Here is an 18,531-nt window from a genome sequence, read left to right on the forward strand (position 1 = left end):
CCAGCCTGGGTGACAGAGAGAGACCATGTCTCAAATAAAAAAAAAAAAAATCCTTCCTCCAAAGAATCATGCCCCTCCTCCACCCGTAAACCTCACCACGCCTCCTAGCCCTGGCCCTGGGGTTTTTTGTTTGTTTGTTTGTTTGTTTGTTTTTGATGCAGTGTCTCTGTTGCCTGGGCTGGAGTGCAGTGGTGCAATCTCGGCTCACTGCAACCTCCATCTCCCTGGTTCAAGCGATTCTCCTGCCTCAGCCTTCCAAGTAGCTGAGATTACAGGCACACGTCACCACACCCTAATTTTTTTGTATTTTTTTTAGTAGAGACGGGTTTTTACCATGTTGGTCAGGCTGGTATCAAACCAGCCCACCTTGGCCTCCCAAAGTGCTGGGATTACAGGCATGAGCCACTGCGCACAGCCGGACCTGGGGTCTTGACTCTTTTCTGGAAGGCAGGGAGAACCCAGGACTAGTTTCCCAGGGACCCTGTACCTGCCAGAGGAGCGTCATAGCCCAGCTGTCTCTCTGTCCTCCCAGGTGTGGGAGTGTGTCAGCTCCCAGGGGAGTCCCACTACGTGAGCTTTGATGGTAGTAACCATTCTATCCCGGACGCCTGCACTCTTGTCCTGGTGAAAGTGTGCCACCCCGCCATGGCCTTGCCCTTCTTCAAGATCAGTGCCAAGCATGAGAAGGAGGAAGGTGGAACTGAGGCTTTCCGCCTTCATGAGGTCTACATTGACATCTACGATGCCCAGGTCACCCTGCAGAAGGGCCACCGTGTGCTAGTGAGCTGGGTGTGGTGACCGGGGCTGGGAGGGAGTGCTGGGGAGGGGACTCTTGTCCCTGCTCCTACTCACCGTCACTGTCCTCCTGTTTAGATCAACAGCAAACAGGTCACCCTCCCCGCCATCTCCCAGATCCCTGGGGTCAGTGTCAAGTCCAGCAGCATCTACAGCATTGTTAACATCAAGATCGGGGTGCAAGTCAAGTTTGACGGGAATCATCTCTTAGAGATTGAAATCCCCACAACCTACTATGGAAAGGTGAGGAAAACATCTGGCTCTTCTCGCTGGGGAGGCAGCCCCAGGGAGATTGGTGGCCGGCAGGGATGGGGGGCAGTGTTCGCATCGTGCCTGCCCAAAGAGGCCACTCCTCAGGATGGAGCAGGGCAGTGGAGGAGTGCGCCTTTCTGTGTAGGGTGGACAAGAGTGTTTCCAGGAAAAAACAGGAAAAACCATTCTGCCCGGGCATGGTGGCTCATGCCTGTAATCTCAGCACTCTGGGAGGCCGAGGCAGGTGGGTCACCTGAGGTCAGGAGGTCGAGACCAGCCTGGCCAACATGGTGAAACCCCGTCTCTATTAAAAATAAAAAAAAAAATTAGTTGGGGGTGGTGGTGCCCACCTGTAATCCCAGCTGCTCGGGAGGCTGAGGCAGGAGGGTTGCTTGAACCTGGGAGGCGGATAGTGAAGTGAGCTGAGATCATGCCACTGCACTCCAGGCTGGGTGACAAGAGTGAAACTTGAAGGAAGGGAGGGAGGGAGGGAGGGAGGGAGGAAAACTGCTCTCGTGAGGGAAGGAAAGAAGGAAGGAAGGGAGAAAAACTGTTCTCGTGCTTCCCCAGCACCGAAAAACCACTCTCCCCCGCCAGGTCTGCGGCATGTGTGGGAACTTCAATGATGAGGAAGAGGACGAACTAATGATGCCCAGCGATGAAGTAGCAAATAGTGACAGTGAATTTGTGAACAGTTGGAAAGATAAGGACATTGACCCAAGGTAGTGGTCCCCTAAGACCCTCTAGGTTTTCTTTCTTTTTCTTTCTTTGTCTTTCTTTCTTTCTGCCTTCCCTTCCCTTCCCTCCCCTCCCCTCCCCTCCCCTTCCTTCCTTTCTTCCTTTCTCTCTTTCTCTTTCTTTTCTTCCTCTCCTTTCTTTTTTTTTTTTTTTTTTTTTTTTTGAGACGGAGTCTTGCTCTGTCGCCCAGGCCGGACTGCGGACTGCAGTGGCGCAATCTCGGCTCACTGCAAGCTCTGCTTCCCGGGTTCACGCCATTCTCCTGCCTCAGCCTCCCGAGTAGCTGGGACTACAGGCGCCCGCCACCGCGCCCGGCTAATTTTTTGTATTTTTAGTAGAGACGGGGTTTCACCTTGTTAGCCAGGATGGTCTCGATCTTCTGACCTCGTGATCCACCCGCCTCGGCCTCCCAAAGTGCTGGGATTACAGGCGTGAGCCACCGCGCCCGGCCCCTCTCCTTTCTTTCGTTCTTTTTTTTTCTGAGACAGAATCTTGCTCTGTCACCCAGGCTGGAGTGCAGTGGTATGATCTCGGCTCACTGCAACCTCCGCCTCCCGGGCTCAAGTGATACTCCTGCCTCAGCCTCCCAAGTAGCTGGGATTACAGGCACCCGCCACCACGCCTGGCTACTTTTTGTAGTTTTTAGCAGAGACGGGGTTTCACCATATTGGCCAGGCTGGTCTCGAGCTCCTGACCTCAGGCAATGTGGCCGCCTTGGCCTCCCGAAGTGCTGGGTAATCATGAGCGACTGCACCTGGACCCTCTAGCTTTTCTTTTTTTCTTTTTCTTTTTGAGATGGAGTTTTGCTCTGTCACCCAGGCTGGAGTGCAGTGGCGCAATCTTGGCTCACTGCAACCTCTGCTTCCGGGGTTCAAGCAATTCTCGTGCCTCAACCTCCCGAGTAGCTGGGATTACAGGTGCACACCACCACGCCCCACGTCTGGCTAATTTGTGTATTTTAGGTAGAGACGGAGTTTCATCATGTTGGTCAGGCTGGCCTTGAACTCCTGACCTCAAGTGATCCGCCCCACTCAGCCTCCCAAAGTGCTAGGATTACAGGCATGAGCCACTGTGCCTGGCCACCCCTCCAGCTTTTCATAGCAACATGAGCTAGGGAGCCAGACTGTAGGGCACACCTGGGGCAGGAAGACCAGAATGTTCCTTTTTTCTTCTTCAATTTTTAAATTTTTTGTAGAGACAGGGTCTTGCCACTTTTGCCCAGGCTGGTCTCAAACTCCTGGGCTCAAATGATCCTCCCGCCTCGGCCCCCCAAAGTGCTGGGATTACAGGCCAGAATGTTGCTTTGTGTGTGTGATTTGAGGGCGATGACTTCTGGGCATTCTGGGGCGATGTGTGTAATTGATCCATCTCAAGGCTGCTAGAACCCACTTGAGGAAATGTGAAAGCTTCCTTTCCTCGCTTAGAAACCTTGGAGGAGGAGCAGGAGCAGAGGCTCATGCCTGTGATTCCAGCACTTTGGGAGGCCAAGACTGGAGGATCACTTGAGGCCAGGAGTTTGAGACCAGCCTAGGCAGCATAGCAAGACCCCATCTTTACAAAAAAATTAAAAACAAAAATTAGCCAGCCATGGTGGCACATGCCTGTAGTCCCAGCTATTTGGGAGGCTTCAGCAGGAAGATTGGTTGAGTCCGAGATTTGAAGGCTACAGTGAGCTATGATTGCATCACTGCACTCCAGCCTGGATGACAGAGCAAGATGCTGTCTTAAAAAGTTTAAAAACAGCCGGGTGCAGTGGCTCACGCCTCTAATCCCAACACTTCGTGAGGCCAATGTGGGAGGATTGCTTGAGCCTAGGAGTTTGAGACCAGCCTGGGCAACATAGCAAGACCTCATCTCTACAGAAAAAAAAAAAAAAGAAAAGAAAGAAAAATAACCAGGTGTGGTTAGTCCCAGCTACTCACAAGGCTGAGGTGGGACGATCCCTTGGGCCTGGGAGATTGAAGTTGCAGTGAGCCTTGATCACACCACTGTACTCCAGACTGGGCGACAGATTGGGAAGCAAAAAAGGAAATCTGAGAGAAGACGAGGCCGATGGAAGATTGGCCAGAGCTCAGACCAGCTTCCCTGTGAACACCAGAAGGGTTAGGAGGGTGGGGAATCCCTGAGAGGTCTCTCTGGGTCATTTGGGAGCACCAGATCATTGTCATAGGGCCAGGCGTGGTGGCTCAGGCCTGATATCTCAGCACTTCGCGAGGCCGAGGCGGGTGGATCACTTGAGGCCAGGAGTTCAAGACCAGCCTTGCCAACATGGTGAAACCTCGTCTCTATTAAAAATACAAAAACTAGCCGGTCATGGTGGCGGGTGCCTGTAATCCCAGCTACTCAAAAGGCTAAGGCAGGAGAATCGCTTTAACCTGAGACGTAGAGGTTGCAGTGAGCCAAGATCACACCACTGAACTCCAGCCTGGGCGATACAGTGGGACCTTGTCTCCAGATAAACCAAAACCAAAAATTAGCTAGGCATGGTGCCGGGTGGCTGTAATCCCGGCTACTCGGGAGGCTGAGGCAGGAGAATCGCTTGAACCCGGGAGGCGGAGGTCTCAGTGAGCCAAGATTGCACTACTGCACTCCAGCCTGGGTGACAGAGTGAGACTCTGTCTCCAAAAAAAAAAAAAAAATTGGTCGGGCGTGGTGGTGGGTGCCTGTAGTCTCAGCAACTCGGAAGGCTGAGTGAGACAGGAGAATCGCTTGAACATGGGAGGGAAGGCAGAGGTTGCAGTGAGCTGAGACTGTTGCATTGCACTCCAGCCTGGGTGACAGAGCAAGACTCCCCCTAAAGAAAAAAAAATTTTGTGTCATAGTAGGGGGACGGCTGTCCCTAGGCTGATTCTTTTCCCTTCCCAGTTGTCAGAGTCTCCTGGTAGATGAGCAGCAGATTCCAGCGGAACAGCAGGAGAACCCGAGTGGAAACTGCAGGGCGGCCGACCTCCGCAGGGCGCGGGAAAAGTGCGAGGCAGCGCTCCGGGCTCCTGTGTGGGCCCAGTGCGCCTCCCGCATAGACCTCACGCCCTTCCTGGTGGACTGTGCAAACACCCTCTGTGAGTTCGGAGGTCTCTACCAGGCCCTCTGCCAGGCTCTGCAAGCCTTCGGGGCCACCTGCCAGAGCCAGGGGCTCAAGCCCCCACTCTGGAGAAACAGCAGCTTCTGCCGTGAGTGTGCCCTGCTGTCACCCCAAACCCCTCCCAAACCCCCTTTCCCTCTCTGCTTCCCTGAGAGCTCCCTCACTCTCCTTCCTGTTCGTTCCTGACTAACTCAGCCCTCATTGTTTCTTTGACAAGGACTATTTTTTAATTTTTATATAAAATTTTTTTTGCTGGGTGTGGTGGCTCACGCCTATAATCCCAGCACTTGGGGAGGCCAAGGTGGGTGGATCACCTGAGGTCAGGAGTTCGAGACCAGCCTGGCCAACATGGTGAAACCCCATCCTACTAAAAATACAAAATTAGCCGGGTGTGGTGGCACATGCCTGTAATCCCAGCTACTCGGGAGGCTGAGGCAGGAGAATTGCTTGAACCTGGGAGGCGGAGGTTGTAGTGAGCCGAGATCGCGCCGTTGCACTCCAGCCTGGGCAAAAAGAGCAACACTCCATCTCAAAAAAAAAAAAAAGTGTCTTTTAGTATCTTGATAAAGTTGTGCAACCATCACTACTATATAACGCCAGAAACTTTTACAATTTAAAACAGGAATTCAATAGAGTTTTTTTTAATAGGTAACACATTTGCAGGATTCAAAAACGTATAAAGTATTAAAAAATTTAAAATACTTTTAAAGTATTAAAAGATACCCAGTAGGTTGGGTGTGATGGCTCATGCCTATAATCTCAGCAATTTGGGAGGCTGAGGTGGGTGGATTGCTTGAAACCAGGAGTTCGAGACCAGCCTGGGCAACATAGTGAGACCCAATCTCTACAAAAAATTACCAAACTAGCTGGGTATGGTGGTGCATGCCTGTGGTCCCAGCTACTTGTGGGGGTGAGGTGGGAGGATCACTTGAGCCCGGCAGTGAACTGTGATTGCATCCCTGCACTCAAGTCTGGGTGACAGAGTGAGACTCTCAGAAAAAAAAAAATTCTCCCCAAAAAACAAAAAAAGATACCAGTGTACCGTCTCCCTCCCACCCTCACCCCATGGGCCTGGTTCATGTCTCAGTATTTTTCCCAAGACCACTTATTTATGCATATATAAACAAATTCAAATTTATATTCGTGGCTGGGTGCAGTGACTGACACCCGTAATCCAAGCACTTTGGGAGTCCAAGAAGGGAGGATTGCTTGAGGCCAGGAGTTTGAGACCAACCTGGGCAATATAATGAGACCCCCGCATCGCTACAAAAAAATTAAAAAAACAAAAGACAAGAAAACTATATGCTCTGTGCTTTTGGAGTTTTGCCAATCTGAGAATTGAAAAACAACGTCTTATTATTTTTTTGCCAGTGTTTCATAAGAAGGTTTATTTTATTTATTTTTTTATTTTATATATATTTTTTGAGACAGAATCTCGCTCTGTCACCAGGCTGGAGTGCAGTGGTGTGACCTTGGCTCACTGCAACTTCCACCTTCTGGGTTCAAGAGATTCTCCTGCCTCAGCCTCCCAAGTAGCTGGGACTGCAGGCACGCACCACCACACCCAGGTAATTTTTGTATTTTTAGTAGAGACAGGGTTTCACCATGTTGGCCAGGTTGGTCTCGATCTCTTGACCTTGTGATCTGCCTGCCTTGGCCTCCCAAAGTGCTGGGATTACAGACGTGAGACATCTCAACCGGCCAAGAAAGTTTATTTTTCTTTAAAACACTCTCGCGTTCCAGGAGCAAAGCAGAGGTGCAGGGGGTGCTGCAGAGCTTCTCAGGGCCAGTGGAGGCAACATGAGCACAGCAGCCTGAGCTGGCTGAAGGGTCAGGGTGAAAGCAGCACACAGGTCCCGTGCAGAAGGGGGCCGCTGCTCAGCTGCCCCACAGCTGCTGGGCATCACTGTGGGTCCAGTGTGACCAGATCCTCTGATTTTTTTTTTTGAAAGAAGCTATAAGCCTGAGTTTTTATTTGACATTGCTATACTTTTTTTTTTTTTTTTTTGAGTCTCACTTTGTAGCTCAGGCTGGAGTCTATGATCTCGGCTCACTGTGACCTCTGCCTCCCAGGTTCCAGTGAATCTCCTGCCTCAGCCTCCGAGTAGCTGGGATTACTGGCATGTGCCACCACACCCAGCTAATTTTTGTATTTTTAGTAGAGACGGGGTTTCACCATATTGGCCAGGCTGGTCTTGAACTCCTCACCTCAGGTGATCCACCTGCCTCAAGCCTCCCAAAGTGCTAGGATTACAGGCATGAGCCACTGCACCTGGTCATGAAAAATAACAAGACTTAATTTGAGTTTTTATTATGAGTGAGATTGGACATTTTTTCATGTACTTAGGAACCCTTTGAATTTCCCTTTCTGTAAACTATCTGCTCTTATCCAGTCACCATTTTTCCATTGAGTCGTTGGTCTTTACTGAACTATTTCATGGAAGTCCTTTATCTGTTATGGAAAGTAGACCTTTATTAGTGCTCTGAGTTACACAAAGTTTTCCAGTCCTTTTTGTTTTCATCTTTTGACTTTTTTTTTTTTTGCCATGCAGGACAAAAATTTTTATGGGGTCAAATATATTAATCTTGTTTTATGTCTTCTGCATCTTGAGCAATAGCTATAAATGCTAGCCCCACAGAAGCTACAAAAGAGTTTGCTGATTCTTTGCTCTAGAAATTTTGTTTGTTTGAGACAGAGTCTCACTCTGTGGCCCAGGCTGCAGTGGCACGATCCCGGATCACTGCAACCTCTGCCTCCTGGGTTCAAGCGATTCTCCTGCCTCAGCCTTCCGAGTAGCTGGGATTACAGGCACCCACCACCATGCCTGGATAATTTTTTTGTATTTTTAGTAGAGATGGGGTTTCACCATGTTGGCCAGGCTGGTCTCAAACTCCTGGCCTCAAGTGATCTGCCCGCCTCGTCCTCCCCAAGTGCTGGGGTTACAGGCGTGAGCCACCGTGTCCGGCCTGCTCTAGAACTTTTATGGTTTCATTTTTTTATATTTAAGTGGGTTTTTTTTGTGTGTGTGTGTGTGTGTGTATTTAAGTTTTTGACCCATGAAGATTTATCCTGATGTGTAAAATGAGGTATGAATCAACTTTGTTTTTGTTTTTCTCCAGAAGGCTAGCCAGCTGTTCCAATATTATTAAATGACTAGTCTGTCTTTGCGCAGGGACTGAGATACCACAATTTATCATATACTAAATTCCCATATATATTTGGATCCATATCTGAGCTTTCTCCTCTGTTCTGTCGGTCCATCTGTATTTGCATGTAGCAGTAACACAAAGTCGTAATCACTGAAAATTTAAAATGAGCTTTGGGCTGGGCGCTGTGGCTTACGCCTGTAATCCCAGCACTTTGGGAGGCCGAGGTGGGCGGATCACCTGAGGTCAGGAGTTTGAGACCAGCCTGGCCAACATGGCAAAACCCCATCTCTACTAAAAATACAAAAAATAGCTGGGCGTGCTAGTATGTGCCTGTAATCCCAGCTACTCAGGAGGCTGAGAAAGGAGAATTGCTTGAACCTGGGAGGTGGAGGTTGCAGTGAGCTGAGATTGTGCCATTGCACTCCAGCCAGGGCGGAAAGAGCGAAACTCTATCTCAAAAAAATAAATAAATGAATAAATAAAATAAAACAAAATAAACGACTTATGGAGGGCCATTCACTACTGATGGCTCTTTTTTTTAGGGAGTTCCTGGCTTTTCTGGTTTGCTTATGTCTTCAGCTCAACTTTGAAATCATCTTGTCCTATTAAAAGCACACACATATATAAAATACTTTTGGTGGCTGGGTGTGGTGGCTCATGCCTGTAATCCTAGCACTTTGGGAGGCCAAGGTGGGAGGATCACCTGAGGTCAGGAGTTTGAGACCAGCCTGGCCAACATGGTGAAACCCCATCTCTACTAAAAATACAAAAATTAGCCAGGCATGGTGGCACATGCCTGTAATCCCAGCTACCTGGGAGGCTGAAGTAGGAGAATCTCTGGAACCAGGGAGGCAGAGGCTGCAGTGAGCCAAGATCATTCCTGGGTGTCAGAGAGAGACTCCGTCCCTGCCCGTCCCCCGCAAAAAAAAAAAAAAAAAAAAAAAAAAAAAAATATATATATATATATATATACACATATATATATATACACACATATATATATACATATATATATATGTATATTTTATTGAGATCACATTAAATGTGTACATTCACTGAGGCAGAACTAACATCACCATGTTGCTGAACCTTCTTATCCATGAACATGGTATGCATTTCCATTTGTTCACACTATTTTTGCTTAAGGGCCTTTCTTTAACTCCCCCAACAGAATTAATACCTCCCTGCTCTGTGCCTCCATCATGCCTTGTATGCTCTTGCTGTCAACACACCTACTGATCATACACATCAAGGTCCTGCTGCCGTTGCTGTTTGACCACCGTCCTTCATGCTGGCTTGGGAGAGCCATTCTTGTTCCTTTTTTTTTTTTTTTTTTTGAGACAGTCTCACTCTGTTGCCCAGGCTGGAGTGCAGTGGTGTGATCTTGGCTCAATGCAACCTCTGCCTCCCAGGTTCAAGTGATTCTCCTGCCTCAGCCTCCTGAGTAGCTGGGACTACAGGCGCCCACCACCACGCTTGGCTAATTGTTGTATTTTTAGTAGAGATGGGGTTTCACCATGATGGCCAGGATGGTCTCGATCTCCTGACCTTGTGATCCACCCACCTCAGCCTCCCAAAGTGCTGGGATTACAGGCGTGAGCCACCATGCCCAGCCGCTTTTTCCTTGCTTTCCCCCAAAGCCTGGCACATAACCCATACTCAGTAAATGTTTGCTGAATGAATAACAAAAGAACAAAAAAAGCTCCCCAAGCCTTGTTGGTCATCCACCCATAGCTTGGTTTGTACAGCCCCTGCCCACCTTGGCCCCCTGTGACCCTCTCCACTGACCCACTGTCTCCTTCACCCACAGCTCTGGAATGCCCTGCCTACAGCAGCTACACCAACTGCCTTCCCTCCTGCTCACCCTCCTGCTGGGACCTGGATGGCCGGTGTGAGGGCGCCAAAGTCCCCTCTGCCTGCGCTGAGGGCTGCATTTGTCAGCCCGGCTATGTGCTGAGTGAAGACAAGTGTGTCCCCAGAAGTCAGTGTGGCTGCAAGGATGCCCATGGTGGCTCCATCCCTGTGAGTGGGCATGGGAAATGGGACTGGAGGCAACACAGCTTGAGGGCAGTGCTTTCTCCTTTTCTCTGCCTCTCTCAGCCTGGGATACCCATGACTTACAGCTGGCCCGGGGGTGTGAAGGCTGGTGTGAGTGGCACATTGATCTCCAGCCAGGTCTGGGCTGATGGCACATGGTTTGGGTTTTGGATCTGAGGAATCCAAACAAGCAGCACATGGCATGGTATAGTGGAAAGACCATGGGCTCATTTCAGCCTAACCTAGGATTGAATCCTGATGGTGCCACTGATGAGTCAGATGACCTCTGTTATATCCGTTTCCTCATCTGTAAAATGGGTTCAGTAGTACCTCCTGCACAACATATGTAAGTCACCAAGCACAAACACAGTGCCTTTTTTTTTTTTTTTTTTTTTTGAGACGGAGTCTCCCTCTATTATCCAGCAGGCTAGAGTGCAGTGGCATAATCTCTGCGCACTGCAATCTCTGCCTCCTGGGTTCAAGCCATTCTCCTGCCTCAGTCTCCTGTGTAGCTGGGATTACAGGCAAGCGCCACCACAGCCTGCTAATTTTTGAATTTTTAGTAGAGATTGGGTTTCACCATGTTGGCCAGGCTGGTCTCGAACTCCTGACCTCAAGTGATCTGCCCGCCTTGGCCTCCCAAAGTACTAAGATTACAGGTGTGAGCCACCACACTTGGCCTGCACAGTTGTCTTTTGGATGACCAAATGACACTGTGGCTGCCTCTGGCCAGCATCAATTAAGCCATTTAGATGGTGGGCCAGGCTGCTGGGGCAAGAGGAAGGAGAACTGGCCCTCCCCTCTTCACTCTTTTTTTTTTTTTTCTTGAGACAGAGTCTCGCTCTGTTGCCCAGGCTGGAATGCAGTGGTGCGATCTTGGCTCACTGCAACCTCTGCCTCCTGGGTTCAAGCAATTCTCCTGCCTCAGCCTCTTGAGTAGCTGGGATTACAAGTGTGTGCTACCACACCTGGCTAATTTTTGTATTTTTAGTAGAGACAGGGTTTCACCATGTTGGCTGGGCTCGTCACAAACTCCTGACCTCAGGTGATCCACCCGTCTCGGCCTCCCAAAGTGTTGGGATTACAGGCGTGAGCCGCCGCGCCCAGCCCCCTCCTCACTCTCTTTCTCTTCCTGTAACTTCTACAGCTGGGCAAGAGCTGGGTCTCCAGCGGTTGCACGGAGAAGTGTGTCTGCACGGGAGGAGCCATTCAGTGCGGGGACTTCCGATGCCCCTCTGGGTCCCACTGCCAGCTCACTTCCGACAACAGCAACAGCAATTGTGTCTCAGACAGTAAGGGGAGCGACCGGGGAGGTTGGAGAGGGGAGCACCTGTGGCCAGGGCGGAGGTGGAGGAAGAGGCAGGGTGGGAAGGGGCTTAGCCTGAACCCCAGCACAGTCAGGGGTTGGGGCGGGCGACTGGATCAGGAGGCCTGGCCTCCAGTTTAGCTCTTGCTAACTCTGTGGCCATGTGCCAGGTCCTGATCCCCTCTGGGACCCTCCACCTGCAGGGCAAAAAGAGGGGACTGGTCAAGGAGATCCTCCAAAGTTTTTCTTTTCTTGTTTGTTTGTTTTTTGAGATAGGGTCTTGCTCTGTTGCCCAGGCTGGAGTGCACTGGCACCATCATATAGCTAGCTGCAACCTCAAATGCCTGCAATCATGTGATCCTCACATCTCAGCCTCCCAAGTAGCTGGGACTACAGGCATGGACCACCACACCCAGCCAATTTTGCTATTTTTTTTCTAGAGATGGGGTCTTGCTATGTTGCCCAAGATGGGCTTGAACTCATGGGCTCATGTGTTCCTCCTGCCTCAGCCTCCTAAAGTGTTGGGATTACAGGCATGAGCCACTGTGCCCGCCCCCTCTAAGGTTTTTAATCAGGCCAGGAGATAGAGAAAATTGAAGATCAAGGATCCAGGGAGGCTGGGCATGGTGGTTCATGCCTGTAATCCCAGTACTTGGGAGGCAGAGGTGGAAGAATCACTTCAGCCCAGGAATTTAACACCAACCTGGCCAACATAGGAAGACCCTGTCCCTACAAAAAATTTTAAAATTTTAAAAAATTAGTTAGGTGTAGTGGCTTGTGCCTGTAGTCCCAGCTACTCAGGAGACTGACGCAGGAGAATTGCTTGAGCTCAGGAGTTTGAGGCTGCAGTGAGCTATGATTGTACCACTGCACTCCAGCCTGGGACACAGAGTGAGATCTTGTCTCAAAAAAATAAAAAAATAAAAATAATAATAAAGGGCCTCTAATTGAATGTCAGTAGGTATTGAAAAAAAAAAGTCTAGGTACCGGGCTTGGTGGCTTATGCCTGTAATCTCAGCACTTTGGACTTTGGGAGGCCAAGGTGGGAGGATTTCTTGAGGCCAGGAGTTCAAGACCAGCCTGGGCAATGTAGTGTGGCCATTTCTAAAAAAAAAAGAAAAAAATTAGCTAGGGGTGGTGGTGCGCACCTAAAGTCCCAGCTACTCAGGAGGATCACTCGAGACCAGGAGGTGGAGGCTGCAGTGAGCTATGATCGTACCACTTGTACTCCAGTCTGGGTGACAGAATAAGACCCTGTCTCAAAAAAAGAAAAAGAAAATTAAAAAAAGAAAAGAAAGGATCCAGGGAGCCTGAGCCTAAGAGGGTGGCCACAGGGGATGCCACCGTGGGGGAGGGACTCTGGGGACTGTCACACCTGGGCAGGGTCCCTTCTCAGTCTTTTGTTTTGTTTTTTGTTTTTTTGAGATGGTGTCTTACTCTGTCTCCCAGGCTGGAGTGCAGTGGCGCGATCTCGGCGCTCACTACAACCTCTGCCTCCCGGGTTCAAGCAATTCTCTTGCCTCAGCCTACCAAGTAGCTGGGATTACAGGCACGCACCACCACACCTGGCTAATTTTTGTATTTTTAGTAGAGACAGGGTTTCACCATGTTGGCCAGGCTGGTCTCAAACTCCTGACCTCAGGTCATCCACCCGCCTTGGCCTCCCAAAGTCCTGGGATTACAGGCGTGAGCCACTGCGCCCGGCCCCTTCTCACTGTCTGACTTCTTGGCAGAGTCTGAACAATGCTCAGTCTATGGCGACCCCCGTTACCTCACATTTGACGGCTTCAGCTACCGCTTGCAAGGCCGCATGACCTATGTTCTGATCAAGACTGTGGACGTACTGCCTGAGGGGGTGGAGCCCCTCCTCGTGGAAGGACGCAACAAGATGGATCCGCCCAGGAGCTCCATCTTCTTGCAGGAAGTGATTACCACCGTCTACGGCTATAAAGTGCAGCTCCAAGCTGGTCTGGAGCTTGTGGTAAGAGCTGGGCCAGGGCCTGGTGGGTGTGGGGAGGCAGCTGGACCAGGTAGGCCACCTGGAGTAGAAGTCAGGGATCCCTGTTCCCTGGGATGTTTGTGGCAGGGGTGGGCTGGTTGTAAAATCAGAGTCAGCAGGACGCAGTGGTTCACGCCTGTAATCTCAGCTACTCAGGAGGCTAAGACGGGAGGATCACTTGAGCCCAGGAGTTCAAGACCAGCCTGGGCAACATAGCAAGACGCAACATCTCTGCAAAAAATTTAAAATGAGCTGGATATGGGGGCGCACACCTGTAGTTCCAGCTATTGGGCAGGCTTAGGCTGGAGGATCACTTGAGCCCAGGAGTTTGAGGCTGCAGTGAGCCAAGATCTTGCCACTGCACTTTAGCCTGGGTGACAGAGAGAAACTGTCTCAAAATCAAAAACAAATTCAGCAACAAGCTCACTTCATGTGGGGAGGCAGCAGAGGCTGGCAAGAAACAAGAGGAAGAGAGGAGGAGGACAGAGCGTGAGGTGTGTGAAGGTCAATCCTGGGCTGAAGAACCAATGGCATCCACTACACCAATGTATTTTTATTTTTTGAGGCAGAGTTTCACTCTGTCGCCCAGGCTGGAGTGCAGTGGCACCATCTAGGCTCACTGCAACCTCCACCTCCCAGGTTCAAGTGATTATCCTGCCTCAACCTCCCTAGTAGCTGGGACTACAGGTGTGCACCACCATGTCTGGCTAATTTTTGTATTTTTAGTAGAGACGTGGTTTCCCCATGTTGGCCAGGCTGGTCTGGAACTCCTGACCTCAAGTGATCCGCCCGACTCGGCCTCCCAAAGTGCTAGAATTACAGGTGTGAGCCACTGTGCCCGGCCTCACTGAGCCAATTTTTTGCAAGGAAGGACTTGGGCTGGGAAGGGGGCGGACCTCACAGAGGTTTCTGCCACGTGAATAGCAAAGCCCATTGGGGTATCTTATTCCACTCTCTGCACGGAGACATATGGAGATGACTGGGAAAAGTGAAGCCCAGCCAGGAAATGGCAGCAGGTCAGGAGGATTCAGCCCTGTCTGTGGCTCCTGTCTTCCCTCTTTAGGTCAACAACCAGAAGATGGCCGTCCCCTACAGGCCAAATGAACACCTGCGGGTCACCCTGTGGGGCCAACGGCTCTACCTGGTCACCGACTTTGAGCTGGTCGTCAGCTTTGGTGGAAGGAAAAATGCAGGTAATGGAGAGAGGGGAAAGAAGAGCAAAAGGGCCATTTCTGGGAAGTGGGAGGGAAAATCCTATTTAAGACAGGCAAATCCTGGTGAGCAGACTCGGCCCGGTAGTGGGGCACCCAGCTTCAGAGGAGGACCAGGAGGAGGTGAGGTGAGACCAGGTGGAGAGCAGAGGGCAGAGTCTTGGCTGGGTGCTGTGGCACTGGCCAGAAATCCCAGCGCTCCGGGAAGCTGAGGTGGGAGGATCGCTTGAGGTCAGAAGCTCAAGACCAGCCTGGGGAACATAGTGAGACCCCCGTCTCTACAAAAAAAATTTTAAAGGCCGTGCACAGTGGCTCACGCCTGTAATCCCAGCACTTTGGGAGGCTGAGGCAGGTGGATCACCTAAGGTCAGGAGTTCAAGACCAGCCTGGCAAACATGGCGAAACCCCATCTCTACTAAAAATACAAAAATTAGCTGGGTGTGGTGGTGGGCGCCTGTAATCCCAGCTACTTGGGATGCTGAGGCAGGAGAATCGCTTGAACGTGGGAGGCGGAGGTTGCAGTGAGCTGAGATCGTGCCACTGCACTCCAGCCTGGGTGACAAGAGCAAAACTCCATCTCAAAAAAAATTTTTTTTTTTTAAATGAGACAGGTGTGATGGTGCATGCCTGTAATCCCAGCTTCTGGAACTGGAGAGGCTGAGACGGGAGGATCGCTTGAGGCCAGGCATTCGAGACCAGCCTGGGCAACATAGCAAGATCCCATCTCTATAAAAAATAAAAATAAAAAATTAGCTGGATGTGGTGGTGCACACCTGTAATCCCAGCTACTGGAAAGGCCGAGGAGAGAGGATCGCTTGAGCCCAGAAGTTGGAGGCTGCAGTGAGCCATGATTGAGCCACTGTACTCCAGACTGGGCAACAGAGCAAGACCCTGCTTTAAAAAAAAGTTAATTAAGGCTGGGCACGGTGGCTCACACCTGTAATCCCAGCACTTTGGGAGGCCGAGGCAGGCAGATCACGAGGTCAGGAGATCGAGACCATCCTGGCTAACACGGTGAGACCCTGTCTCTACTGAAAATACTAAAAATTAGCCAGGTGTGTTGGCGGGCACCTATAGTCCCAGCTACTCGTGAGGCTGAGGCAGGAGAATGGAGTGAACCTGGGAGGCGGAGCTTGCAGTGAGCGGAGATCACACCGCTGCACTCCAGCCTGGGCAACGGAGCGAGACTCCATCTCAAAAAAAAAAAAAAAAAGTTAATTAAAAAAAAGAGTGAGGGCTAGGCGCGGTGGCTCATGCCTGTAATCCCAGCACTCTGAGAGGCCGAGGTAGGCAGATCACTTGAGGTCAGGAATTCTAGACCAGTTTGGCCAACATGGTGAAACACTGTCTCTACTAAAAATACAAAAATTAGCCAGGCATGGTGGTGTGTGCCTGTAGTTCCAGCTACTCGGGAGGCTGAGCCATGGGAATTGCTTGAAACCAGGAGGCGGAGGTTGCAGTGAGCCAAGATCACACAACTGCACTCCAGCCTGGGCAACAGAGCAAGACTGTCTAAAAAAAAAAAAAAAAAAAAGAGTGAGGAGTCTCACTTCTGGGGACCCCCTTCCTCCCGCAGTGATCTCCCTACCCAGCATGTACGAGGGGCTTGTGAGTGGCCTGTGCGGAAACTACGACAAGAACCGCAAGAATGACATGATGCTGCCCAGTGGCGCCCTGACCCAGAACCTCAACACCTTTGGCAACAGCTGGGAGGTGAAGACCGAGGACGCACTCCTGCGCTTCCCCAGGTGCACGGCCTGGAAGGGATGAGGCGGGGGAGGTGAACAACAATGTCTGTGCACGGTGGCCGCTAGCCCTCCTGTCCTCAGGAGAGGATGAAACTCCAGGGAGAGGGTGCAGATAGGCCTGGATCCTCCCAATTCCGTCATTCCCTCTCATCTGACTCTGGGGGCTCCCGCTCAATGGAAATCTCTCTCTGTGCCCCTGCCCTGCCCTCAGCCTGCCTTCCCAGTTATTTTTCCTTCTTCCTTCTTCCTTCTTTCCTCCTCCTCCTCTTCCTCCTCCTTCTCCTCCTCCTCCTCCTTCTTCTTCTCCTCCTCCTACTTCTTCTTCCTCTGTCACCCAGGCTGGAGTGCAGTGGCATGATCTCAGCTCACTGCAACCTCTGCCTCCCAGTTTCAAGTGATTCTCGTGCCTCAGCCTCCCAAGTAGCTGGGACTACAGGCATGGGCCACCACGCTCAGCTAATGTTCGTATTTTTAGTAGAGACAGGGTTTCACCATGTTGGCCATACTGGTCTCGAACTCCTGACCTCAAGGGATCTGCCCACCTAGGCCTCCCAAAGTGCTGGGATTACAGGTGTGAGCCACCACACCCAGCCCCAGTAGTTCTTATTTCTTTTTTTAAAATATATTTTTTAGAGACCGGGTCGTGCTCTGTTACCCAGGCTGGAGTGCAGTGGCGTGATCTTGGCTCACTGCAGTTTCCACCTCCTGGGCTCAAGTCATCCTCCTGCCTCAGCCTCCCGGGTAGCTGGGACTCCAGGCAGCCACCACCATGCCCGGCTAATCAGTTCTTCTTCTTCCCCCACTTCACCTTCCTTGGGGCCTCACCTGACCCCGTGGCTGTCTCTACTGCAGGGCTATACCAGCGGAGGAGGAGGGACAAGGGGCGGAGCTGGGCCTCCGCACGGGCCTCCAAGTGTCCGAATGTAGCCCGGAGCAGCTGGCGAGCAACAGCACCCAGGCCTGTAGGGTGCTGGCAGACCCCCAGGGCCCCTTTGCTGCCTGTCACCAGACGGTGGCCCCAGAGCCCTTCCAAGAGTGAGTCATGGGCCCAGGACTTGTGGGAATGGCCCAGGTGCCTGCTCTGGTCTTTCCCTGGGGCCTCCTGCCCGCTTCCTGACCCAAGCTCTGTGTGGTTCACTCCTCCGTTCTCCCTGTGGCCTAATTTCCTTGTGACCCTCACTGGACACCGACTGATGTCTTTCTGTTTGGGGTTCCAGGCTCTCTTCTGCAGGGGTGGGTCTCCTCCCCTCCCCAAACTGACTGTGCCCTTCCTGCCCCCTCTCTGCACCAGGCACTGCGTGCTGGATCTGTGCTCTGCTCAGGACCCAAGAGAGCAAGAGGAGCTGCGTTGCCAGGTCCTCAGTGGGTACGCCATCCTCTGCCAGGAGGCGGGCGCTGCCCTGGCTGGCTGGCGGGACCGCACCCTCTGCGGTGAGGTGTTGCCCCTCCCTGTGCCGACCCTGACCCCTCTGCCGTCCACCTCTGCTGAACGCTCTTCCCACCATTGCCTCATCTCGGGCTTTCTGTCTTAGTCCCATCATCCCTCGAATTTCTGCCTTAGTCCCAGGTCCAAGTCAGCACAACCGGCAGCCTGGCTCCTTCTCTGCCCCTGCCTGGGAGCCTCCCAACCCCATCCCGCATCCCGCTCCTTCCTGCCAAGGTCCACCTTCGCTCAACCAGTTCCTTCAAATGTTCTAATGTTGCAGACCCTGGATGGGCTGGGCGTGGTGGTTCACACCTGTAATCCCAGTGCTTTGGGAGGTTGAGGCTGGAGGATGGCTTGAGCCCAGGAGTTCCAGCCAGGCTGCAGTGAACCATGACCGCACACCACCACACTCCAGCCTGGGCAACAGAGCAACATCCTATCTCAAAAAAAAAAAAAAAGAAAGAAAGAAAGAAAGAACGAAAAAAAGAAAGAAATTAAAAAAAGAAAAGACTAGACAGGCTGGACATGGTAGCTCATACCTGTAGTTCCACCACTTTGGGAGGCAGAGGCAGGAGGATCAATTGAATCCAAGAGTTTGAGACCGGCCTGGGGAACCAGTGAGACCCCATCTCTATAAAAATCTTAACAAATTGGCCGGGTGTGGTGGTGCATGCCTGTAACTCCAGTCACCAGGGAGGCTGAGGTGGGAGGATCATTGGAACCCAGGAGTTGGAGGCTGCAGTGAGCCGTGATCACGCCAGCCTGGGCACTCCAGCCTGGGCAACAG

At 51.4% G+C, this 18,531-nt stretch overlaps 1 protein-coding gene across 5 annotated transcripts in view, besides 1 other annotated feature; it reads left to right on the top strand.

The window, feature by feature from the left end:
• The window catches only part of ZAN (zonadhesin), a 64,203-nt gene that overhangs the window by 41,201 nt on the left and 4,471 nt on the right, over window positions 1-18,531 (top strand). For 3 of the 5 annotated variants that reach the window (NR_111917.2, NR_111918.2, NM_173059.3), the window contains exons 32-42: window positions 533-780; window positions 874-1,038; window positions 1,645-1,769; window positions 4,651-4,955; window positions 9,828-10,039; window positions 11,202-11,346; window positions 13,094-13,341; window positions 14,423-14,552; window positions 16,147-16,318; window positions 17,171-17,353; window positions 17,610-17,749. Coding sequence is in view for 2 of the 5 variants with exons in the window: in NM_173059.3 (NP_775082.2) it covers window positions 533-780; window positions 874-1,038; window positions 1,645-1,769; window positions 4,651-4,955; window positions 9,828-10,039; window positions 11,202-11,346; window positions 13,094-13,341; window positions 14,423-14,552; window positions 16,147-16,318; window positions 17,171-17,353; window positions 17,610-17,749 (2,073 nt within the window). In the remaining 3 variants the exon portion in view is untranslated. The remainder of the gene's footprint in view (window positions 1-532; window positions 781-873; window positions 1,039-1,644; window positions 1,770-4,650; window positions 4,956-9,827; window positions 10,040-11,201; window positions 11,347-13,093; window positions 13,342-14,422; window positions 14,553-16,146; window positions 16,319-17,170; window positions 17,354-17,609; window positions 17,750-18,531) is intronic. The other 2 variants (NR_111919.2, NM_003386.3) reach the window with 1 other exon arrangement.
• Window positions 9,930-10,429: an enhancer, noted in NCBI's record as "H3K4me1 hESC enhancer chr7:100382347-100382846 (GRCh37/hg19 assembly coordinates)". NCBI's record gives its function as "activates a minimal SCP1, AML or CMV promoter by ChIP-STARR-seq in primed H9 embryonic stem cells {active_cell/tissue: H9 hESC(primed)}" and the evidence as "EXISTENCE:reporter gene assay evidence [ECO:0000049][PMID:30033119]".

The sequence above is a fragment of the Homo sapiens genome, chromosome 7 (assembly GCF_000001405.40).
Source record: "Homo sapiens chromosome 7, GRCh38.p14 Primary Assembly".
Classification (NCBI taxonomy): Eukaryota; Metazoa; Chordata; class Mammalia; order Primates; family Hominidae; genus Homo; species Homo sapiens.